Here is a 26,931-nt window from a genome sequence, read left to right as displayed (position 1 = left end):
GATTGACAAGCAGAAAGGCATGGAACTTCTCGACAGCACATTAGGAACCAGTAGAAATGTAGCAGTGCCTCTACAATTTAGAATTAAAATGACTTCCAACCTATAATTCTACACCTAGCTAAACTATCAAATAAGTGTGAGAATACAGGAAAAACATATATCTAGATAGATCTATATGTCTGTATATGCATTATATGCAACTAAAAGTGTGTATTTCTTATGCAGTCTTTCCCAGGGAACTCCGATGAAGTGTTCCAACAAAATGAGCGAGTGAACCAAGAAGAGGATGACATTAGATCCAGGAGATACAACAGAGGAGATAATCTCCAGGATGCCTGTGAAGAAAGATCCCTGGATCCCAGGATGATTATAGGACAAGTTGTTCATAATCCAGCAGGCCAGAAGACTTCCAGGGAAACTCATTCAAGGAGGTGAAAATGATGGATGACTCCTCCAAGATGAAAATGGACCAGCCGCAGTGGCTCACGCCTGTAATACCAGCACTTTGGGAGGCTGAGGCAGGCGGATCACTTGAGGTCAGGAGTTTGAAACTAGCCTGGCCAACGTGGCAAAACTCCATCTCTATTAAAAATACAAAAATTAGCCAAGCATAGTGGTGCATGCCTGTAGTCCCAGCTACTTGGGATGCTGAGGCAGGAAGAATTGCTTGAACCTGGGAGGCAGAGTCTACAGTGAGCCGAGATCATGCCACTGCACTCCAGCCTGGGCAACACAGTGAGACTCCATCTCAAAAAAAAAAAAAAAAAAATTAAGCAGATGGCTATAATTTTTTTAAAAATAGAAAAGTGTTGATGAGAAATGGGAAACCTCATACATTGTTGGTCAAACTGTATGCTTCCATTTAGAGGAAATAGTCAGAACAAATAAATCCATAGACACCAATTAGGTTGGTGTATCCCAGGGGCTGGGCATGGAGTGGGGTGGAGAGAGAAGGAGGGCCTGCTTAGTGGATACAGAGTTTTCTTTGGGGGCGATGAAAGTGTTTTGGAACTAGATAGAGGGGGTGGTTGCACAACATTGTTGTTGGTGGGAATTTAAAATGGTGCAAGCACTGTGGAAAAAACAGTTTAGCATTTCCTCAAAAAGTTAAAACAGGCCAGGCGCTGTGGCTCACGCTTGTAATTCCAGCACTTTGGGAGGCCAAGCCAGGTGGATCACTTGAGGTCAGGAGTTTGAGACCAGCCTAGCCAACATGGTGAAACCCTAAAAATACAAAAAATTAGCCGGGCATGGTGGCAGACACCTGTAATCCCAGCTACTCAGGAGACTGAGGCAGGAAAATTGCTTGAACCTGGGAGGCGGAGGTTGCAGTGAGCTGAGATCGCACCGCTGCACTCCAGCCTGAGTGACAGAGTGAGACTCTGTGTGAGAAAAAAAAAAAAAAAGTAAAAACATAGAATTACTATACAGCTAGCAATATCGTTGTTAGGTATATGCCCCAGAGACTTGAATACAGTTACATGCTCCATCAGATACCTGTACCCAAATGTTCCTATCGGTATTACTCATGGTAGCCAAAAGGTAGAAACAACCCAAATATCTACAAATAGATGAATGGATAAATAAAATGCAGTGTATCCATATGGAATATTACTTGGTCTCAAAAGGAAAGAAGTACTTATGCAAGCTACAACATGGATAAACTTCAAAACAATATGCCAAGTGAAAGAATCCAAATGCAAAAGGTCAAACGGTATGCTTCCATTTAGAGGAAATAGTCAGAACAAATAAATCCATAGACACCAATTAGGTTGGTGTATCCCAGGGGCTGGGCATGGAGTGGGGTGGAGAGAGGAGGGGGGCCTGCTTGATGGATACAGAGTTTCCTTTGGGGGCGATGAAAGTGTTTTGGAACTAGATAGAGGGGGTGGTTGCACAACATTGTGAATGTACTATAATAAATGCCACAGAATTGTGTACTCTAAAATGGTTTAATTGCTGTGCATGGTGGCTCACGCCTATAATCCCAGCACTTTGGGAAGCCAGGATGGGAAGACTGCTTGAGCCTAGAAGTCTGAGAGCAGCCTGGGCAACATAGAGAGACCCTGTCTCTTAAAAAAAAAAAAAAAAAATTAGCTGGGTGTGAAGACATGTGCCTGTAGTCCCAGCTACTTGGGAGGCTGAGCGAGGAAGATTGCTTGAGCCAGAGAGGTCAAGGCTGCAGTGAGCCATGATTGCACCACTGCACTCCAACCTGGGCAAGAGAGAGAACCTGTCACAAAAAATAATAAATAAATAAATAAAATGGTTACTACCTGAATTTTACCTCAGGAAAAAAAAATAAGCTAACATACCAACAGGACAGTTATTACTTCCTAAAAAAATAAAAGGATATACAGGAAGGGAAAAATAAATAAAAATTTACCACAAGCTTCAGCTCCACATAGCATTTGTATAGTCATGATAATGTAAACATGTAATGTGAATATATGAATCTAGCCAAAACTATGCCATAACTATAAAGAGGGGAAGGCTAGTACAGGAAGGGGGTCATGGAGCAAAGGGATGAAAGACATGAAGACTCATCCTTCATAGCCTGAATCCGAGGAGTGGATAAAGACTCAATCTAAAGATAAAATAAGGCAGGAAATGAGGAAAAAGAAAAAAACTGTTGAAGTGCATCCAAAGTTGCAGATGGTTAACATTCATTCCACTCACTTGGGAAAACATCTGGTGTGATCGTCTAATGGGTCATCACCTTCCTGCCATTTCTCTAAACACCCTCCACAGGAAAAGCACTGGACGATGTCCTTTATACCTAAAAGTAAGGAAACTTGATCAGTGCCACTGGCATGGGCATCTGTCCATTAACATGCAGATAATAACCACCAGACCTGTAATAGTGAAAGCCTATTCAGTCTCCAGTTGGGTTTTGTGACAGTCAGAAGTTGGTTACCAGTGAGGCAATTTTCTATATAAGACTCTGTCCACCAATGGGGTAACTGGCAAGTAGTCATTGAATGCTCCTACACACCATGCACTTTGATGCACACCATCCCTCTGCCCCATTCTCCTTTGATCAACAAACAGATTGGCAACCAGAATCTGGAATTGAAGCTCCATGAGGGGGCTGGGCGCAGTGGCTCATGCCTGTAATCCCAGCACTTTGGGAGGCCAAGGCCAGCGGATCTCCTGAGGTCAGGAGTCTGAGACCAGCCTGGCCAACACGGTGAAACCCTGTCTCTACTAAAAATACAAAAATTAGCTGGGCATGGTGGCACATGCCTGTAATGCCAGCTACTCAGGAGGCTGAGGCACAAGAATCGCTTGAACCCAGGAGACGGAGGTTGCAGTGAACCAAGATAACGCCATTGCACTCCAGCCTGGGCAACAAGAGTGAAACTCTGTCTCAAAAAATAAAAATAAAAATAAGCTCTATGAGGGTAGAGGTTTTTGCTCACTAATGAATGACATGAACCTAGAAAAGTGCTTGACACTCATGTGGCACTCAATTAGTATTCGTTTAATGAATGAATCAGAAAGAATATATTTAGAGCTCACGGAAAAAAAAATACCAGCAAATCTAGCAGCCCTTATGTAAGTGAATGCATGAAGAATTAATTGCCTCTTACCACATTATTGCCATGTTTATTACACCAGAAATAGGATTAAGTCTCTTTGTGAAATTATATTTCTTTGGAAAGAAATTGGTATTTAGCTCTGCAAAAGGATCAAACTAGAAACAGAGCATTTCTCATCTTCCTTCCACTCTGGGAAAGCTGGGGCAGAGGAAAGCCTCCCAGAAATATGAGATCCTAGAGCTTGCAAGATCTGAAAACAGTCAGAGATGATTAGGATTTGTGTGGAGTGGTGGAGGATTGGAAAGGAAGAGGGGGAGCACACTGGTCAGAGGGGTCTTGCGGAAGGCTGACAAGAGGAAGACACAGTAGAGTAGGGAGAAATGGCAAACACTCTTTCCAAAGGCTTAAGATTGTGAGGCAGTCAGATTTTTTTTTTCCAATGGCACATGTCTGTTAGGTAGAGTGACAACTATATTCTGCTTCTCTGTGTTGCTCTATGGTATTTGTGACAACTACTTGATCTCTCAGTTAAAGATCTGCATTAACCTCCACTGTAACTTATGCATGTGTTCGGTTTGAGCAAGACCAGCAAGGTACCTAGGAACCTTTCCCTGATCATCTTGTATTTCAGGCAGAGATTTAGCTGACAGGAACCAGCCCATCATTTATAGATTGCAGAGGTGCTTCCTAATGACCAGCAGCTAAAGAGAAAATGCCACAATCTGGTGGAAGGCTCTACGTGTTTAGGAATCATGAAAATTAATTTCCTGATTTTCTCCTGCAGGCAGAATGTGGCAAAGATTGCTATCCATGTTCCTATTATCTCAAATCCTTCCATACTAATAGAAATCCCAATATTTAGCTGGGCACATTGTCACCCAGGAAAAAGATTAGGTTTCCCAGCTCCTCTTACAGCTAGGTATGGTCATCTGACTAATAATAATAATAATAATTATTATTATTATTATTATTATTATTATTATTATTATTATTTTTGAGACAGAGTTTCACTCTTGTTGCCCAGGCTGGAGTGCAATAGCATGATCTTGACTCCCCGCAACCTCCACGTCCCAGGTTCAAGCGATTCTCCTGCCTCAGCCTCCCAAGTAGCTGGGATTACAGGCACCCGCCACCATGCCTGGCTAATTCTTTGTATTTTTAGTAGAGACAGAGTTTCACCATATTGGCCAGGCTGGTCTCAAACTCCTGACCTCAGGTGATCCACCCACCTCGGCCTCCCAAAGTGCTGGGATTACAGGCGTGAGCCACCATGCCCGGCCCATCCAACTAAGTTCTGATTAAAGAAATATAAGCAGAAGTGTCCTGTGACAGTTTCTAGGAGCACTTTGTCAGGGGACAAGAGGTGAGGAGAGTAATGTGTAGAAAGAAAAGACATGATAATTATCACAAATAGAATACTTGTATTCATTGTTAGTCCAGACCTTAAGGTTTCAAATTTGAAGGTTTACCACCTAAGGGAGGAATAGAAAACTGGGAGAGGATTTATGATGCAGGAAAGAAAAGAGATGTATGCCAGGTGCAGTGGCTCACACCTGTAATCCCAGCATTTTGGGAGGCCAAGGCAGGAGGATTACTTGAGCCCAGGAGGTTGAGGCTGCAGTGAGCCATGATCTCGCCACTGCCCTCCAGCCTGGATGACCATGTCTCAAAAAAAATAGAAAGAAAAGAAAACGAATCTATAAGAAATGCTGAAGAGAGGCCTGGCGCGATGGCTCACACCTGTAATCCCAGCATTTGGGAGGCCAAGGCGGGCAGATCACGAGATCAGGAGATCAAGAGCATTCTGACTAGCATGGTGAAACCCTGTCTCTACTAAAAATACAAAAAAGTAGCTGGGCGTGGTGGCAGGCGCCTGTGGTTCCAGCTACTCCAGAGGCTGAGGAAGGAGAATCTCTTGAACCCGGGAGGTGGAGGTTGCAGTGAGCCAAGATCTGCATTCCAGCCTGGGCAACTCTGTCTCCAAGGGGGAAAAAAAAAGAAAAGAAAAAGAAACGCTGAAGCTAGTGGACATTGCTGAGTGTAGCTAAACGTAAGCCCAGGAGCATAAAGTCTATGTGGGAATTAAAGGTCAAGCAAGCAAGTGGGCACAACCTACTGACTCACCTGTGTAGAAAAGACCTGCTTTGGCCAGTGCTGCAACTCCCACAGCTGATTCCCGGGGCCAGTCCTTAAAAGAGTCCAGCCGTAGTTCTTCGTAAGCAAAGATGCTGTCATTGCAATAAGCTTGAATAAAAAGCACAAGGTGAGACCAGCAGGCTTTAGTCTTTTTTTTTTCTATATCTTTATTGCTGCTGCACAAATTAAAGAGACCAGTAGGCTTTGATATTGCAAGTATCAGCGTTCAAGTTGTCCCTTCACAGTTACAGATGGAATGATGTCTAGAGTTTGCTTCAAAATAAACGGGGCGGGGCGGGGGGGACGACAAAAAGAGATAGGGACAAAAAATCAAAAGAAGAAATAAACAAGCAAAGCCTTTGGAAAATGTTTGAGTTTTTACCTGATGCCATAGGTAATTCTCTCTGGACCCAGGAATTCACAAAATGTTCTCCCTGAGGGAAATTAAAATTCAAGTTGTTGATTATCTGACTTTTTTTTTTTTTTTTTTTTTGAGGCAGAGTCTCACTCTGTTGCCCAGGCTGAAGTGCAGTGGCAGGTTCTCGTCTCACTGCAACCTCCGCCTCCTGGGTTCAAGTGATTCTCCTGCCTCAGCCTCCCGAGTAGTACAGGCATGTGCCACCACACCCGGCTAATTTTTTTTTTTTTTGTATTTTTAGTAGAGACAGACACGATGTTGGAGGTCTTTTTTTTTTTTTTTTTTTTTTTTTTTGAGACAGAGTCTCGCTCTGTCGTCCAGGCTGGAGCACAGTGGCACGACCTTGGCTCACTACAAGCTCTGCCTCCCAGGTTCACGCCATTCTCCTGCCTCAGCCTCCCGAGTAGCTGGGACCACAGGCGCCTGCCACCATGCCGGGCTAATTTTTTTTTTTTTTGTATTTTTAGTAGAGATGGGGTTTCACCATGTTAGCCAGGATGGTCTCTATCTCCTGACCTCATCATCCGTCCGTCTCGGCCTCCCAAAGTGCTGGGATTACAGACGTGAGCCACTGCACCCGGCCCATGTTGGAGGTCTTGAGGCTGGTCTCGAACACCTGATCTCAAGTGATCTGCCCAGCTCGGCCTCCCAAAGGGCTGGGATTACAGGCATGAGCTACTGCGCCCAGCCTGATTGTTTGACTTATGAAGTATATACCTATCTATGAACAAGAACTGAAGGAACTTTACCCCAGAATGAAGAGTTTCACTGGATGGAACGGCAGAGTCGGAGGAGAATTATTCCTTTAATTTTTATTTCTGTTGATGTTGCAATTGTTTTTATGCAGTGCAAGCAAACATACACACACACACACACACACACACACACACACACGCATGCAAGCTGTGAATGTTTATGCATACTCAGGAGGAAGCCTTCTCAGGGTCACTGTTTCCGGAAACTGACCTTGAAAACAGACCTGCATTTAAATATCACAGATGTACTTTGACGAATGAGGAAGTAAGAGACATAGAATGGTAACTAAATTCATCAGGGTATTATATATTGAGCAACTGATTCTTCTGGGAAAGCTGCACCCAGTTTCTTTTTGAGGAAACACCTCTCTTCCCCCACTGTCAGGCCATGTTCTCTATAGAGTTCTGGTCTCCTGAGTCATGTTAATCAATAAATTCTCATTTTTGTTTAAGCCAGTTTGGATTCGATTTCCCATCACTCTCCACTAGGAAATTTTTACTGATTCAGGATAGTTAGCCAGCTAGGAAGAGCCAGCTCTGCAGCCCACTGTGGGTGACAGCGCCTAGGTCAGGAGATCTTAGCAAGCCTGCAGATAGGGGCAGCAGAGGGAAGCTGGGGCAAGTGGCTTCATTCATAAAGGGGAAGACTATCAGGAAGGCAAGCAGAGCCCGTCAGAAGCCAGACCTGGAAAAAGAAAAAGGCTCTAGGTCAGCAAGTGAATGTGATATTTTTCACTTTGAAGATGGGAGCCAGGGGAATGAAAGGAGAAAGGAAGAAAGAAATCAAACCCATGACATAAAAAGAATGCCTATGCCCTTCTGAGTCAGACACTTACAGGTAATCCAAAAACTTGAGAAAAAAATTGCTGTTATACATTACCGTTATGTCAACAAATCCCTTGTAGCTTTGAATATACTGGGTAATTTCCTCTGAGGATTTCTTACTCCGAAGAAATTCACATCTGTAATTAATAAATATAATTAAAATTTACCCCAGTACTGTGATAGAGCTGTCCTATATCACAATGAACATTTATAAAGACGTATTGAATTGTTGAATTTTATTATACTTCAATAAAATTGCCAAAAAATTTACCACAAAACTTAGGAGAATTACCATTATTCTCATATAATTATTTGTTATTTCTATTAGTGACAACATGTGTAGTTATTTAAAATTAAATCTTCAGGTTAACTTTTTTCTTGAAATAAAACATGCAATACAATCAAAGAGACTGATTTACAGTAAATATAGGATGGAGCTTTTGTTTTTTGGAATTAAGCAGTGGTGACTAAATCTAGTCGCTAGGGTTATATGAAAGCTACTGGCAGTAAAGAGAACTATATTTAAAATAATAGGCCAGACGCAGTGGCTCACATCCAGGAGTTCAAGACTAGCCTGGGCAACATGGCAAAACCCCATCTCCACAAAAAATACAAAAATTAGCCGGGCATGGTGCCACACCTCTGTAGTCCCAGCTACTCAGGAGGCTGAAGGGGGAGGATCACCTGAGCCCGGGGAGGTAGAGGCTGCACTGAGCCATGATCAGGCTGCTACACTCCAGCCTGGGCAACAGACTGAGACCCAGTCTCAAAAGTAAATACAAAAAATCTTTTTAAGATAACAATATATTTATCTACTGAACAAAAAATTACCATGCATTAAAAAGTAATGGCTATTAGGCCAGGCGTGATGGCTCACGCCTGGAATCCCAGCACTTTGGGAGGCCGAGACAGGTGGATCACGAGGTCAGGAGTTCGAGACCAGCCTGGCCAAGATGGTGAAACCCTGTCTCTACTAAAAGTACAAAAATTAGCTGGGTGTGGTGGCGGGCGCCTGTAATCCCAGCTACTTGGGAGGCTGAGGCAGGAGAATCGCTTGAACCTGGGAGGTGGAGGTTGCAGTGAGCTGAAATCATGCCACTGCACTCTAGCCTGGGCAACAGAGCAAGACTCAATCTCAAAAAAAACCAAAAACAAAAAAAGTAACGGATGTTAATGGATAATTTTTGATTTTTTTAAAAAAGAGCACACTGAATACCATTTAAAAACATATTCCTTTCCCATAAAAGAGAAGCAGTTTTAAAATTAACTTTTAAAATTTCCTCCAATTCAGCTGGGCATGGGGGATCATGCCTGTAATCCCAGCACTTTTGGAGGCTGAGGCGGGTGGATCACTTGAGGCCTGGAGTTTGAGACCAGCCTGGTCAACATGGTGAAACCCCATCTCTACTGAAAATACAAAAATTAGCCAGGCATGGTGGCGGGCGCCTGTAATCCCAGCTGCTTGGGAGGCTGAGGCGGGAGGATCACTTGAACCTGGGAAGCAGAGTTTGCAGTGAGTCATGATTGTACCACTACACTCCAGCCTGGGCAACAGAGAGAGACTCTGTCTCAAAAAAAATAAAAATAAAAATAAAAATCCCTCCAATTCAAATTTAAGTTTTCTTTCTATGGTGCTGTAGCAAAGAATGGGCTGGGAACCCAAAGGCTGGAGCATTAGTACCCGCTCTTCCACCAGTGGGGATGTGACCAACCTTGCCATGTTCTCTTATAATCACAGGAGAACATGGATGCCATCAGATGATCTGCATATTTCCCCAGGGCCATGATTCTATGTGATAGGCAGCCAGGGTCCCCAGTTTTCAGGTGTATAAATGTTTCCAAGGATTGCCGTAAGTCTGCACATAACCTACATGGCACACAATGCACGGGGTGGTTCCCTGTCCTCATGATTTATATGGATTGAGGAGGAACTCAGTACCTTAAAAAGTTACCATAAAATCATCTTACATTTATGGAGTGCCACATTTTAAAAAGTGTAAGGGTATACTCATTTTGTTGACAGTTGATAAAAAGAAGCAACAAATTGAAGTCCAGAAAGCTAAAGACAGAGTAACCCAACAAGAAACTTGGGGATTCTTGCTCTAATTCCAGCTCTTAGATTTTATTGACTGACCATGTGCTTATGACGACAAACAAATGAAAGGCAAAACAGTGGGTCATCTGTCATCCTCACATTATACATGGTAATTTTTACAAAGCATTTGATCCATATACTTTGTTTCTCATCCTTACAACCACCAGACAAGCTGTACATTATTATCTGCTGTGGAAGTCGCAGATACCAAGATGAAATCACTTTTATCAGACCCACACAAAATAGGGCTGGGAAGGCACGAAGGAGTGGGGTTCAGGCTTTCATGTCCAAGACAGGAACGGTTCCAAAGACTTTCTAAGAATCCCATAAGAAATCCCTTCACGCCTGTCACGCATCTCCTGCTTTGCATTGCTTGCATGTACGCACATATTTCTATGGCAAGGTTTATCACTGCACATTCTTTTGGACTGCAGCAATTCAGATAAGATAACATGAGATGAGATGCTGTCAAAAGAACACCTGCCCAGGAACAGCATCTCCACCAATGAACACACAAGAACACACAAGAAGGCTTTGAGCCTTCAGAACCAAGGAATTCTCTTCTGCCCTCTCTCCTCTCCCCTCTCCCCCGTCCCCTGTCTTCTCTCTCCTCTCCCCTCTCCCCTCTCTCCTCTCTCTCTAAAGAAACTGGAGCCTCATCACATTGCCCAGGCTGGTCTCAAACTCCTGGCCTCCAAAGACCCTCCCGCCTCAGCCTCCCACATAGCTGTGATTACACGTATGAGCTACCATGCCCAGCTATGAACTCTGTTTCTAAGCAGCTTATGTGAACTTCTCCCTTTTGCCAAGAAAAATTCCCTTTACTCTTCCCTCACTGCACGTGCCTGTGGTTTACAGTAGTGCATTCCAAATCATAACCCTCTTTTCTTATTCCTGAATAAATTTGACATATTTGGGGATATCTGTCTCTAATTTTTTTGTTGTTGTTGACACTGCATTTTACATATGAGATTCAGACAAGGTCAGTCACCTGCCTAGGGTCTGGTAGTCAGGTAGCAGCAGATTCAAGCCTGGCTCTATCTCCTAAGCCTCTGCACTACCCCCTGCCCTTGTTTGCTGGCCTGAACTCCTTCCTCTCTAGGAGTGGTTGCTGGACTGCTGTCTCCCCTCCCTGTGCTTATTACCTTACCCTCTGACTATGTTAGAGAAGGCATATGAAGGCCCCTGCAGACAGGATGTGCGGCTCTAGTAGGTGCTAGTCACATGATAATGTGATCATGTGTGAGTGGTGCCACTGGTACTTGTCCAGTGTATAACCCAGCGACACTAAACACAGTGACCCTGAGGCTAAGTGAAGCCTGAGCTGAGGCTAGAGCTGAGACAGGTGCCCACGAGCAGCGGCTTGTGCTCCAGCCGGGGCTGCTGTTCCCTGTTACATATGCATATATGGTGCACTGTCAGCATGGACAAGGACTGCCTGGGTGGCTGTTTTGATTCGTCAGGGAGCCAGAGTGACTGTCAAATGATTTCTCAATTCTAGCTTCATTCGTCCCTATAACCATCTCATCTACTTGTCTAACTTTCTCTCTCTCCTCTTCCTGCCTTTCTCCTCTCCTCCCTTGTTTACTTCCTCCCTCCTAATCTCCTCACTTTCTTTTCAACTATGAAAGTAATATATACTTGTTTCCAAAAATTTAAACAAGACAGCAATGAACAAAATAAATGTGAAAATCCATCACTACTTCACCCCCTGACAAATCCAGATCCAGAAGTATCTACAGTTTGGTTTACATATTTTCATAAGGTTTTCTATATATTTTCAAGCAACTCCATATATAGTTTGAGTGGTTTTAAACATTTTCAAAGTCTCACACTGCACTTATTGTGCATATTGCTTTCCCACACAACGTATCAAAACATACCAAAGATATCCATTCACTTTTTTTTTCTTTTGAGATGGAGTCTCACTCTGTTGCCCAGGCTGCTGTGCAGTGGAGTGATCTTGGCTCACTGCAACCTCCGCCTCCCAGGTTCAAGCAATTTCTTGCCTCAGCCTCCCGAGTAGCTGGAACCATAGGCACGCACCACCACGCTCGGCTCATTTTTGTATTTTTAGTAGAGATGGGGTTTCACCATGTTGGCCAGGGAAGAGGGGAGATAGGAGAGGAGAGAGGAGAGAGGGAAGAGGGGAGAGGAGAGTTCATCACTTGAATGAACTCCTGGCCTCAAGTGATTTGCCCGCCTTGGCCTCCCAAAGTGCTGGGATCACAGGTGTGAGCCACTGTGCCCAGCCTTTTTTTTTTTTTTTTTTTTGAGATGGAGTCTCGCTGTGTTGACCAGGCTGGAGTGCAGTGGTGCGATCTCAGCTCACTGCAACCTCTGCCTCCCGGGCTCAAGCAATTCTCCTGCCTCAGCCTCCCAAGTAGCTGGGATTACAGGCGCCTGCCACCACGCCTGGCCAATTTTTGTATTTTTAATAGAGACAGGGTTTTACCATGTTAGCCAGGCTGGTCTTGAACTACTGACATCAAATGATCCGCCTACCTTAGCCTCCCAAAGTGCTGGGATTACAGGCATGAGCCACCATGCCGGGCCTCCATTCACTTTTGTGGGCATGGCTGTCCATGTGCAAGATGACTTATAAATGTAAATAACTGTGTCCAGTTTTGTAGTTAATTTAGTATCCAACCAACAACTTTGCATGTAGTAGGTGTGTGACAAATATTTGTTAAAGAAAATAGAATCTGAGGCTGGGCACGGTGGCTCATGCCTATAATCCCAGCACTTTGGGAGGCCGAGGCAGGTGGACTGCCTGAAGTCAGGAGTTCGAGACCAGCCTCGCAAATATGGAGAAACCCCGTCTCTACTAAAAATACAAAAACTAGTCAGGTGTGGCAGTGCGCACCTATAATCCCAGACCTGGGTGGGGTGAGGCAGGAGAATCGCTTGAACCCAGGAGGCAGAGGTTGCAGTGAGCCAAGATTGCACCGCTGCACTCAAGCCTGGGCAACAGAGTGAGACTGTCACAAAAAAAAAAAGAAAGAAAGAAAATAGAATCTGAGCCTGACCAAACTGCTAGATCCAAGTGTCAGGTTCCTGGAAATGCAGAAGGTAGAGGAACATGTTAGACTATGCCAGAGGAACACATTCTGCCAAATCTAGAGTAGAGGGAATTTTACAGGACAGATTACATGGCTTCTTTAACAAATAAGTGACAAGAAAAAAGAGATGGATAAAGAGGAAATCTACGAATTAAAAATCTTAAGGGGCTGAGCACAGTGGCTCATGCCTGTAATCCCAGCACTTTGGGAGGCTGAGGTGGGAGGATCACTTGAGTCCAGGAGTTTGTAGAACCAGGAGTTCCAGACCAGCCTGGGCAACAAAGTGAAACCTTGTCGCTATAAAAGATATGAAAATTAGCTGGGCATGGTGGTAGGCACCTGTGGTCCCAGCTACTCAGGACGCTGAGGTGGGAGGATTGCTTGAGTCTGAGAGGTGGAGGTTGCAGTGAGCTGAGATTGCACCACTAAACTCCAGTCTGGGCTCCAGTCTGGGCAACAGAGCAAAACTCACTCTCAAAAAAAAAAAAAAAAAAAAAGAAAGAAAACAACAAATCTTGGTCAGGCACAGGTGGCTCATGCTTGTAATCCTAGCACTTTGGGAATCCAAGGTGGATCACTTGAGGCCAGGAATTTCAGACCAGCCTGGGCAACATGATGAAACCGCATCTCTACTAAAATTACAAAAATTAGCCAGATGTGGTGGCACATGCCTGTAGTCCCAGCTACTCGGGGAGCAGAGGCAGAAGGATCACTTGAGCCCAAGAATTCAAGGTTACAGTGAGCCACAATTATGCCACTCACTGTACATTTCATGAAATCTCTTTCCTCAACAGCATCCCCATTCAGATGTCACATCCATTCCGATAATATATCAGGGAGAGATGATAACAATTATGCAATTATATTGCATAATTGAATTATATTGAAATATAATCCATCGGGAGCAGTGGCTCATGCCTGTAATCTCAGCACTTTAGGAGGCCGAGGTGGGTGGATCACCTGAGGTCAGGAGTTTGAGACCAGCCTGGCCAACATGGCAAAACCCCATCTCTACTAAAAATACAAAAAAAAAAAAAAAAAAAAAGAAATTAGTCAGGTGTGGTGGCACGTGCTTGTAGTCCCAGCTAGTTGGGGCTGGCTGTGGTGGCTTACACCTATAATCCCAGCACTTTGGGGGGCTGAGGCCAGGAGTTCAAGACTAGCCTTGCCAACATGGTGAAACCCCATCTCTACTAATAATACAAAAAAAATAGCTGGGCATGGTGGCGCATGCCTATAATCTCAGCTACTCGGGAGGCTGAGGCAGGAGAATTGCTTGAACCCACGAGGCAGAGGTTGCAGTGAGCCGAGATCGCACCACTGTACTCCAGCCTAGGCGACAAGAGTGAAACTCCATCTCAAAAAAAGAGAAAGAAATATAATTCACACATCATAAAATTCACCCATTTAAAATGAACAACTGAGGGTGCGGTGACTCATACCTATAACCCCAATGCTCTTGAGGCCAAGGCGGGAGGATTGCTTGAGACCAGGAGTTGAGATCAGCCTGGGCAACATAGCTAGACCCTGTCTCTAAAAAACTTTTTTTTAAAGAAAACGAAAACTTAGCAGGGCATGGTGGCATGTGCCTGTAGTCCTAACTACGTGGGAGGCTGAGGTGGAAGGATCTCTTGAGCCCAGGAATATGAAGCTGCGGGGAGCTATGATTGCAGTACTATACTCCAGCCTGGACAACAGAGTGAGGCTCTGTCTCTAAAAAAAGTAAATAAAATGTACAGTTCAATAAATATCAGCATATTCATAAACATGCACAACCACCACCACAATCAATTTTAGAACATTTTCATCCCCCCAGAAAGAAACGCTGTGCCCATTAGCAGTTGCTTTCCATGTCCCCCATTACCCTCCTAGCCCTAGGCAACTACTATGTTACTTTCTGTCTCTATAGATTTGCCTACTGGGGACATTTCATATAAATTGAATCATACAGTACGTGGTCCTTTGTGTCTGGTTGCTTTCACTTTGCAAAATGTTCATGTTGGTAGAGGTGCTTAAAAAATAAAATAAAAAGAACAACAAAAAAAGGAAGCGAAATTCATCCATGTTGTATTGTTTTAGTACTTCATATTCCTTTTCATTGTCAAATAATATTTCATTATGTGGATATACCACACTTTATTATCACATATACCATATTTTATTCCTCAACCCAGTTGATGGATGTGTGGATTGTTTACGCTTTTTGGCTATTATAAATAATACCGCTGTGCACATTAGTGTGCAAGTTTTTATATGGACATTTTTCACTTTTTTTTTTTCTTGAGACAGGGTCTTGCTCTGTCACCTAGGCTGGAGTGCAGTGGCTTGATCACCATCCATTGCAGCCTCAACCTCAAGGGCTGAAGCGATCCTCCCACCTCAGCTTCCCAAGCAGCTCGTACGACAGGAGCACACCACCATTTTTTATAGAGACAAGCGTGTTGGGGGTGTTGGTGGGGGGGGTCTCACTATGTTGCCAAGTTGGTCTCAAACCCCTGGGCTCAAGTGATCCTCCCACCTCAGCCTCCTAAAGTGCTGGGATTACAGGCCTGAGCCACCACACCTGGCCCATTTTTCACTCTTAAACTTACAGTTGTATTGTCATACTAAACTAAGTTAATTGCCGTTTAATTTTTTATTAGCAGGTATAACAATACATTATGCACCATGGTCCAACAATGACAATAAAGTTTTTCACCACTCCGGGCATTTTATCCACACCAATGTAAATGTCCTTGGGTCCCATAGCACCAAGAGACTCTGCCACCCTTTTCTTTACATCACACTGCTTTAAAGTGACTGTAGATTCTGCTTTTGCATCATCCTAAAGGTTTATTTGTTTAATTCATCAAGACTAGGATACATTAGAATCTTGACTGGGCACAGTGGCTCACACCTGTAATCCCAGCACTTTGGGAGGCTAAGGTGGGAGGATTGCTTGAGCCCAGGAATTTGAAACCAGTCTGGGCAACAAAGTGAGATGGAGTCTTGCTCTGTTCACCCAGGCTGGAGTGCAGTGGCACAATTTTGACTCACCGCAACCTCTGCTTCCCAGGTTCAAGCAATTCTCCTGCCTCAGCCTCCTGAGTAGCTGGGATTACAGGCATGTGCCACCATGCCCGGCTAATTTTTTTATTTTTAGTAGAGACAGGGTTTCACCATGTTGGCCAGGCTGGTCTCGAACTCCTGACCTCAGGTGATCCACCCGCCTCGGCCTCCCAATGTGCTAGGATTACAGGTGTGAGCCACCATGCCCAGCCCTTTCCTTTTTTTTTTTTTTTTTTAAATAGGAGACAAGGGCTCACTCTGTTGCCAAGGCTGTAGTACAAGTGCAGTGGCATGATTCTAGCTCACTGTAGCCTCAGATTCCTGGGCTTAAGCAATCCTCTTGCCTCAGCCTCTCAAAGTGCTGGGATTACAGGTGTAAGCCAGGACACCCGGCCTCCTTTCTTTTGAATGATATTAATCTGTTCATCATTCAGCACAATTTGGAGCAAAGGAACTAGTAAGTCTTCAACAGGCTTTCACTTCATCCTGCTCCCCCAGTAGTAGGGTCATACAAAAAGTCTACGAAGGTAGAGGCCCTCTTATCACAGCAACAATCATCACTTAAGTCAAAGACATAAAATTAAGGGATACCTTAGTTTCATCACAGAACCAGTCCAAATGTGTTTGTTTGCATTCTCAACATTTCAGTAACCTCTAGGGAGTATTTCTTCTAACAATTATGGGTGGAATTGGGCAGTTCCCCTTTACAAGATATGTTTTATGTACTGCCACCTTTGTGCAGCTCAACCGATTTGGAATTTGCCCAGCTAACCACATTCCGGCAAAAGCTGCAGCTAATTGAAGATCTTCAACGAATTCAGCTAATTAAGACCAAACACACCCTTTCATTTGAAGGTACATTTGACAGTACCTAATACAAGGAAAAGAGCTCCTTTGTCATTCATGTATATCCAACCCAGCAGTGGTTCTGCAGGAAGCTCTGTCAGTCCACAGGCAACTTCACTCTTGTGTAGTTCCCTGTTTCAGTTGTCTCTTGATGCCCTCCCACTGTAGTTTCGTTGGTGATTATCTACCCGATGAGGGTCACATTCCCATCAGAAGAAATATCTGCCCAACTCCTCTTTGGCATCATGTTCCTTCCCTTTACAGAAGGAAATTGGTGGACTTGGCAACACAGGCTCTTTTTTAGTTACTTTCATTTTTGCCAAAGCAGCCTAACCAGCCAGGGAACTGTATTCTTGGCTGACTTCCTCTGTGTCTGGATTTCTTTTTAAATCTATTTAGCGATTTCCTCTTGCTCTGCATCAACCACCTTCAAGTTCCATTGTCATCCCTTTCTTCCCATTGAGAGTTGTAGCACTTCAGCAAATTCAAACAGGGATTCCCCAGCAACTAGCCTGGCACCAGTGGCTCTAAATCTTTCCCCACTTTTCATCTTTCTCCCAAACAAAGCCTTAGCTATCATTTAAATTATAAAGTAAAAAACTGGGGGGCCAGGCGCAGTGGCTCACACCTGTAATCCCAGAACTTCGGGAGGCTGGGACGGGCGGATCACTTGAGTTCAGGAGTTCAAGACCAGCCTGGCCAACATGGCGAAACCCCATCTCTACTAAAAATACAAACAAATTAGCCGGGCGTGGTGGTGCATGCCTGTAATCCCAGCTACTCGGGTGGCTGAGGCACAAGAACTGTTTGAACCCAGGAGGCAGAGGTTTCAGGCTTCAGTGCCACTGCACTACAGCCTGGGCAACAGTGTGAGACCCTGTCTCGAAAAAAAAAAAGAAAAAAAAAAACCTGGGGCCAGGCGCAGTTGCTCACACCTGTAATCCCACCACTTTGGGAGGCCAAGGCAGGCAAATCACTTGAGCCCAGGAGTTCGAGACCAGCCTGGGCAACATGGTAAGACTCCAGCTCTACAAAATAATTTTTTTAAAAGTTAGGCAGCCGTGATGGTGTGCGCCTATAGACCCAGCTACTCGGGAGGCTGAGGTGGGAGGATCTCTTGAGCCCAGGAGGTTGAGGCTATAGTGAGCTGTGATCAAGATACTGCACTCAACTTGGGTGACAGAGTGAGAGAGACCCTGTCTCAAAAACAAAAAAAAAGTAATGATCCTATTCACAGTACCCTCTTCATCAATTACACAGGTTTGGATCATTGAAAAGACTTAGAAGACTCCGCATAGTATCCTCACATAAGGCTTTAATAAAGGTAAAGGATAGATACAAAAAAAAAAAAAACCCAACAAACCAAAAGGCAAGTGAAACACCACACCCAGTTCCTAGGGTCCTTTTGCAGCCACAGAGGATGTGGAAGATGTGCTTCATCTTTAAGCAATGAACCAGCTAGATGATACATGCAAGACACCTTGGTCTCAAGAGAACTGTAACCTCATCTGAGGCTCTTTTATACTCCTCTGATCAGGTAGCCAACACTAGCTTGCATACCAGGGCTCAAAACCAGAAACAAGCTGGTATAGTCAAGCTGGGGCAGTGGCATGCACCTGTAATCCCAGCTACTTGGGAGGCTGAAGTGGGAGGATCACTTGAGCCCAGAAGTTCAAAGCCAATGAGATTTCATCTCCAAAAAGAAAGAAAGAAGCAAGAAACAGGCTGCTCCCTGGTCTGTCTCCCACCCCAGCACAGGACTCTATTAATCACTGGCTAGTACATTTCATTTAGGTTTGGCCAAGGAACAGCACCAAGGCTTCAGGCCTCCCCAGAGATAAATGAGTACAGAGTTGCAGCAGACCAGCAGACATTGATCCTGTCTGACACAACGAAGTTTGGTGGTCAATCATGCCAGTCTAGAGGCTGTTTCTGGGGGAGGAGAAGTAATTTCCAAGGCCCTTTCCAGGTCTAATATTCTTTGACTACAGTGCTAAGAGTGCCATTGAGGCAACTGTGCCATGGAGCTAGGATTTAAACCCAAGTCTGTGTGACTCCAGTGTCTGTCCTCTTTCCTCCATACCATCCTGCCTCCAAAGAGAGAAACAATAGCAAGACAAAGAAGGGACCATAGGTTTAGGTGTGGAAGAAAAGCACCTTTGCCAGGGATAGTAATTTACTTACCTGAGGTTTATCCACAGTTCTAGTCTAATAGAGGAGAATGCTGGCCAGTGGAAGGAAAGTATGTGGCTGAAGAACAAATGCTCTGTCCGTCCTTTAGTAGGAAGCAGTGAGAAAATATTTAAGGAACTAAAATGCAAAAAAAAATCGCGCAGTCAGAGACTTTACCAGTAAATGCTCTAAGGTCTTGAGTCAACAGGATTTAATCAGGACCCAAAAGGAGTAATGAAACCTACAGAGTCTCACACCAGAAGTATTTTATTCTAGTTTTTTTGTTTCTGTTGTTTTTGAGACAGTGTCTCACTCTGTCGCCCAGGCTGGAGTACAGTGGCACGATCCTAGCTCACTGCAGCCTCAAGCTTCCAGGCTGAAGCGATCCTCCCATCTCGACCTCCCAAAGTGCTAGGATTATAGGCATGAACCACCACATCCGGCCTTTATTCTAGTTTGTTAAGATTGGTTAATAGTTAAGGTGCTAGTGTCTTATTTCTGTTATAGTAACAGTTTCTATCTTTCTGGTAGCTTTTAGGATCTTTTCTCCTAAGTGTAGACCTCTCTACATTCATTGGGCTGGGTATTCAATGGGCATTTTCAATCTGAGCTCTTGGGTCTCCCATCAAGCCTGGGAAATTACCTTCTATTATTTATTTGATAACTTCCTACTGTCTGTTACTCTCTTTTTACTCTTTTGGTATTCCCACTATTCAGGTGAGTAATTAATTGATCACTTATTTTTTTTTCATATATTCTTTTCCTACTTTCTAAGGGTCTCGCTCTGTCATCCAGGCTGGAGTGCAATGGCACAATCACAGCTCACTGCAGCCACCACCTCCTGGACTCAAGTGATCCTCCCACCTAGCCTCCCAAGTTTTGGGACTACAGACGTGTGCTACCATGCACAGCTGATTTTATATTTTATTTTGTGTAGAGATGGGGGTCTCACCTTGTTGCCCAGGCTGGTCTCAAACTCCCGGGCTCAAGTGATCTGCCGGCCTCAGCCTCCCAAAATGCTGGGATGACAGGTGTGAGCCACCGCACCCAGCTGTCCTCTCCTTTATATTCCGGCTCTCCAATCTAGTTTAAAATTTCAGCAATTATAATTTCCCACAGCTCTTTCTTTTCTCTGTGCCTTATTTTCATAGTGTCAATTTTTTTAACCAGTGCCATCTTCCTGAATCTGCTGTACGATACTAATGTTTAAGTTCCTGTTTCCTGAATTATGTTTCCTCAAAGGTTTTTACCACTTACCTTGGTGTTTACTTTTCATATTATCAACTTTCCTCAAATGTGTAGTGATCCTGGGTTTTCAACTCATGTTTAAAAATTAAGTCATTTAAAAACACATTGGTCAAACTAATCATTAAAAAATCAGGAGCCACAGGAGTGGGACTTGAACCTGAGCCTTTCACTCTATGGAGAACAAGAATTACCCTAATGTCAGAATGTCAGAGAAAGATTTCAGAAAATGATTTCAAGTTACTTGGGGTTTTTTTTGTTTTGTTTTGTTTTTGGAGATGGGGTCTCACTTTGTCACCCAGACTGGAGTGCAGTGGCACAATCTCGGTTCACTGCAGCCTCTACCTCCCAGGCTCAAGTGATCCTCTCATCTCAGCCCCACAATAGCTGGGACTACAGGCATGCACCACCACACCTGGCTAATTTTTGTATTTCTAGTAGAGACAGGGTTTCGCCATGTTGCCCAAGCTGGTCTTGAACTCTTGACCTCAAGCCATTTGCCCACCTCAGTCCCCCAAAATGCTGGGATTACAGTCATGAGCCACTGGGCCTGGCCCGTTACTTGTAAAGACAAAGCTAGCAGCCGAAAACTTACTTGGAACGTTCCTTGGACATAAAATCACCATTTCTTAAAAGGATTCTTAGTTTTGGGGTGCCAGTGCCCACACTGGTTCTCTAGGTCAGCTAAGAGAAAGCAATGTGTTCAATTTTGGGGGAAGCAGGGAAGACTCCTGTAATTTTTTGCCCCAGGGTAAACACTTGTGTGTCAAATATTCTGATCATGGGGTAGAGAGAGCTGACTGTCCCGTGCACGGGCTTCCAATTAGTCCCTCAATTTTCAGCCCTTCATGTCACTCCAGCCCTCCTTCCTATCTGGCATCCTGTGTCCGCAGTTACTCCAAGCTTCTCCATAGGGCAGATAGTCTCTCATAGGAGACTCCATATTCAGGAAGCGGTTTCCTTGAGCTGCTTCCTTCCTGACTACTAGTCCATATAGTTTCTACTTTCCAAGAATGTGTTAAAATATTCTATGTGCTACTGGTCCCATTTCTGTTCTATTTTATTTTTTTTTACCTTTAAACTCTGTTGGACTTGACATTCTTGTTTTCTTAATTTTCCTGGGTTTATACTTTTAAGAATCAGTAATATTGTGTATTTATTACCAAAAACATGAACTAAAATTTACATAGAGCCTATCAAGGAAAAACCATTTCTCTACTCACATTTCTGACATCAAATATATGGGTTTTCCACCAACCAATTCTCCAATTCTCCACAGACAGCAGCTGAGTGTCTTACAATTTTACTCAATTCTGATGCTAATTAACCAGAGTTAGTGCAGACCCCACGGGTTAGGGGCTCAGCCCCCAAGACTGCCCCCTACTTCAGATGCCAGCCACAACTATTAGGACCTCAGGGTACCCACACTTCTGTCTGAGTTCACTACAAATCATGGGTATCTGCAACCCCCTCAGGTTCGATAATTTCTTTCTTGGGGGTTGGGGGAGTTTAGGAGCAGAGGTTTAATAGGCAAAAGAAAGAAAAACGAGAACAGATCTCTCCCTTGTGAGGGGCTTCCGAAAGGAAAATCCGGCCTGCGGTGGACTGCACCAGATTTTATAGGTAGGCCTGAGGAGGCGGCGTCTGATTTGCGCAGAGCCCACAGGTTGGTTTGAACAGGTGTGACGTTTACATAGCACGCGGGGAAGGTTGGGCGCCCCACCCTAATCTTACTATGACAAAGGGCAGAGTGACCTTGACATGCCATGTGCTTTCCAGAGCAAGGGCAGAGAGTGACGCTCACTGTGGTGGGAGAGGAGACCCTCTGTTCCTAGAAAATCACAACAGCATGCCCCTGTGCTATATCCCTGGTTACTACAGCAGTCTTTGTTCTTGCCTAACAAGATTACTTCCCTGAACTGTAAAACTCCCTCAGTACTGCATACAGAGAGAGGTTAGGAGACATGGTGGTCGTGGATAGGAAATGAGGGAATTATGATAGGAAAGTTGGAGGTCCTGTTGCCGACACCCCTTAGGGTGGCCGGAGGCTGGGGTCAGTCCAGAAGCCTTCGGATGGCACCAGGAGGTAGCCCCAGCCAGAAATCCTCAGTTGCTCCAGGACCTCTTCCAGCCCCACACGACAGCTTGGTCCTCCGTGAAAGGAAACTGGTTCAAACATGGCCAATATGCCCAGCAGCCCGTGGGTATTGGGGGGTTCTCCATGTTCTCCCCAGCAAGCCTGTCCCCCAAAACTTGTAAGGCTGGCAGCCACGCTCATAATTTTTAAATGGCTAATTGGTGAAGGCAGAGTTTTCTCATTCACAGAAGCAGAAGGGGGCCCAGTATTTGGTTTGGTTTGATTCTAAAATGGAGGCCAAGAGCCTCGAAATCAAAGGACAGAGTTGAGGTCCGCCCCTTTACTCACCTTTGCAATGAATGCACCTTGGAATCCCAGACGAAGTCCCCAATATGAAGTGGCATTGTTGTCTGGGGTCAATACCCGGGGTTCGTCGTCTCGCACCAACAAGGTTAAGGACACGATACACACGAAGAGTGGGTTTAGGAGCGGAGGTTTAACACGCAAAAGAAAAAGGAGAACAGCTCTCTCCCTTGTGAGAGAGAGCGGCTTCCGAAAGGAAAATCCCAGGTTCGATCGTTTCTTATAATGGCTCACAGAACTCAGAAACTTTACTTATGTTTACTGCTTTATTATAAAGGATACAGATGAACAGGCAGTCGAAGAGGTACACAGGGCAACGTCCAGAAGGGTCCCAGGTGAGCACAGGACCTTTTGTCTTCATGCAGTTTGAGGTGCATCGCCTTCTTGGTATGTGGTTGGGGTTAACCAAACCGAAAGCTCTCCAAACCTGTGGTTTATTTTTTAATGGAGGTGCCATCACTTAGGCATGATTGGCTAAATCACTGGCAACTGGTGGTTAATCAATCGCCAGCCCTTTTACCCTCTCTGGAGGTCGAGGCGTGGGGCTGCAAATCCCAGACCTCTAATCATGCCTTAGTCTTTCACGGGATAGCCCCCATCCTGAAGTTGTCTAAAGGATCCCAGCCACCAGTTAGCTCACTGTCATACACTCTTATCACTTGGAGATTCCAAAGGTCTTAGAAGCTCTTGTGTCAGGAACCAAGACCAAGTATTCTAATAAAAGATGTTTCTATCACCCCTGTCACTCAGGAAATTACAAGGGTTTCTGGAGATCTGTGCCAGGAACTGGATGAAGATCAAATATATATATTTATTATATCACAATATTGCAGCCTACTACTTGCCAGGCACAATTCTAAGCACTTTACATGTGTCCACTTAATTCCTTTAACAGTCCAAAATCAGCTATTGCTATATCATCTCCATATTACAGATAAGGAAACTCAAGCACATAGGGGTTAAGGTTAACCAGTGATCTGGCTAGTCTGTACTTTTACCTGATGTTGTGCTGCCATACAGACTAGATTTTTTTTTTTTTTTTTAGACTGAGTCTTGCTCTGTTGCCAGGCTGGAGTGCAATGGCGTGATCTCAGCTCACTGCAAACCCCGCCTCCCGGGTTCAAGTGATTCTCCTTCCTCAGCCTCCCCAGCAGCTGGGACTACAGGCACATGCCACCTCGCCCAGCTAATTTTTGTATTTTCAGTAGAGACAGGGTTTCACCATGTTGACCAGGATGGTCTCGATCTCTTGACCTCGTGATCCGCCCACTTCGGCCTCACCAAATGCTGGGATTACAGGCGTGAACCACAGCACCCAGCCAAGACTAGATTTTTAAGAAAAGGCAATCCAGATGTCCTAGAAGGTTCATTTCCTCTTTTTGGTGGTTTAGTAAATTTCTTAGTAAGGCTTCTAGCTGTTATAGCAGCATTAGTATGTGAACCACAGTTAAGCTCTAGTCCAACAAGGCCATTTCTTCAGCAGAGAAGCAATTGTTAAATAATCGACCAAGTATTCATTGGCTCCCTCTTTTTGTATCAACATACACAATTGTTACAGTGCCAGTGTTTATTGGAACCACTTTCCATGGTGCATCCAGCTGTGCCTAGACCAGCAGGTCTTTTTCCAGAAGTCCAGATGGCAGGGGAACCTCTTCACGTTGTTGACCCTTCTCCCTGTAATTTTTTCCCCAATAAACCTTTTCATTATGTTGCTGTATTTATACCCAAATACACATTACATTTATTTTAGTACCTTGTACATTTTGTTGCCCTTATAAATTGGAGGGGTTTTAAAAACTATTTTTTATTCTCAATATTCATTGATGATGTATAGGACTCCTTCTGGACTGTTTAATATATGACTGTAAATCCCCCTGAATTTTCTTAGATGTTTGTAGTATCTGATTATGACAGTTTTGTCTTTTATTTATTGCCTTGTTGCATTGATTAGGGCCTCTAATATAATGTTGCTTAATAATGAAGATAGATATCCTATCTTATTCTTGACTTTTGGTATAAATTCTTCTAAAGTTTGAGCATTAAACATGATGTTTGTTGTAGATTCTTAGTGGATACTCTTTAGCAGTTAAAGTAACTTCTCTTTTACTTCCAGTGACACTACTACCTAATTTGAAGAGAGGATTTGGAATTTTGAGTTTCAAAATAATACTGTTTTCAAACACTTTTTTAGCTAAAAAGTACACACACATAGGGCAGTGTTTTAAAGTTTAGCTACTTCAGGGCATATGTGTATACTCACTGAAGTTTTAATTTAATGGCTTATTGGTCATTCATGTATCTTCTTTGGTAAGGTAATTAAATTTTTTTCTTTTTTTTTAAAAGACAGAGTCTCGCTCTGTCGCCCAGGCTGGAGTGCAGTGGCACAATCTCAGCTCACTGCAACCTCCGCCTCCTGGGTTCAAGCGATTCCCCTGCCTCAGCCTCCCGAGTAGCTGGGATTACAGGCGCCCACCACCATGCCCAGCTAATTTTTGTATTTTTAGTAGAGACAGGGTTTCACCATGTTAGCCAGGCTGGTCTCGAACCCCTGACCTCGTGATCCACCCACCTCGGCCTCCCAAAGTGCTGAGATTACAGGTGTGAGCCACTGCACCTGGCCGTAATTAAATTCTTGACCCATTTAAAAAGTGCGTGTTTTCCTTTTTATTACTAAATTATAAGGATTCTTTATATATTTTGCATACTAGTCCTTTGTTAGATATTTACATTGCACATATATTCTCTCAGTCTGTTAACCATCTTTTCATTTTCTTAATGGTGTCTTTCAAAAAGAAGTTTTTAATTTTGATGAAGTCCAATTTTAATTTTTGTTATGATTGATAGTTTTTGTGTCCTAAGAAATCACTATCTACTCTAAAGTTGTGAAGATATTCTAAAAGTTAACATTTGTATTGTACAATATCAACTGTTAGTTGAGGATATGGAGCAACTGGAAGCTCATACATTAGTTGTGGGAATGTAAAATGGTATTAATACAATGTCTTTGGAAAAACAGTTCACTGGTGTCATGGAAAGCTAAGTATACTCTTGCCATACAATCTAGCAATTCCATTCCTACATATTTACCCAAGAAAAATGAAAACACATGAACACACAAAGATTTATACAATAATGTTCATAGCAACTTTATTCATAATAATAACCAAAAAATCAGAAACAACCCAATGTCCATTGGGGATAAACACATGGATAAACAACGTATCCATAAATGAAGTACAGGTGGTAAAAAGAAGCAAAGTATTGATATATGCAACAAATGAATAAGCTCAAAAACATTATGCTAAGCAAAAGAAGCCATACATATCATTTAATTTTTAAAAATTGTATATAACAGACAAATCTCATCTACAGTGACAGAAAACAGATCAATGTCACCGGCCGCTGGAACTCCTAGGGAGTACTCACTGCAAAGGAGCCCTTCTGGAGTGATGAAGATGTTCTCTCTCGATTGTGGTGGTCGTGGCATGGGTACAGAACACTTGTCAAAAGGCATGGAATTACTCAAGATGGGAGCATTTTTACTGTATGTTAATTATAACTCAATAAAATTGATTTTTTAAAATTCTAAGTACATATATAAATACATTAATGTTTACAGAGCATTAAGAGAAGTGAAAAAGGTCGGGCGCAGTGGCTCACGCCTGTAATCCCAGCACTTTGGGAGGCCGAGGCGGGCGGATCACGAGGTCAGGAGATCGAGACCATCCTGGCTAACACGGTGAAACCCCGTCTCTACTAAAAATACAAAAAAACAATTAGCCGGGCGTGGTGGCGGGCGCCTGTAGTCCCAGCTACTCGGGAGGCTGAGGCAGGAGAATGGTGTGAACCCGGGAGGCAGAAATTGCAGTGTGAGCCGAGATCGCGCCACTGCACTCCAGCCTGGGTGACAGAGCGAGACTCTGTCTCAAAAAAAAAAAAAAAAAAAACAAAAGAGAGAAGTGAAAAAATAATTCCATGTTTGAGATTTGTTTTTTTTGTTTGTTTGTTTTCAGACGGAGTCTTGCTCTGTCACCCAGGCTGGAGTGCAGTGGCGTGATCTCGGCTCACTGCAATTTCTGCCTCCCGGGTTCACGCCATTCTCCTGCCTCAGCCTCCCGAGTAGCTGGGACTACAGGCGCCCGCCACCACACCCGGCTAATTTTTTGTATTTTTAGTAGAGACGGGGTTTCACCGTGTTAGCCAGGATGGTCTCGATCTCCTGACCTCGTGATCCGCCCGCCTCGGCCTCCCAAAGTGCTGGGATTACAGGCGTGAGCCACCGCGCCCGGCCGAGATTTGTTTGTTTATAAAGTTACCTGAATTTGTTTTTTAAGTTTAGTAGAATTC

General features: G+C 43.9%; 1 pseudogene; it reads right to left on the bottom strand.

The window, feature by feature from the left end:
• On the bottom strand, positions 2,677-7,816 carry NAIPP3 (NAIP pseudogene 3; annotated as a pseudogene).

Source organism: Homo sapiens, chromosome 5 (assembly GCF_000001405.40).
Source record: "Homo sapiens chromosome 5, GRCh38.p14 Primary Assembly".
Classification (NCBI taxonomy): Eukaryota; Metazoa; Chordata; class Mammalia; order Primates; family Hominidae; genus Homo; species Homo sapiens.
This window is presented reverse-complemented; position numbering and strand designations above follow the sequence as displayed.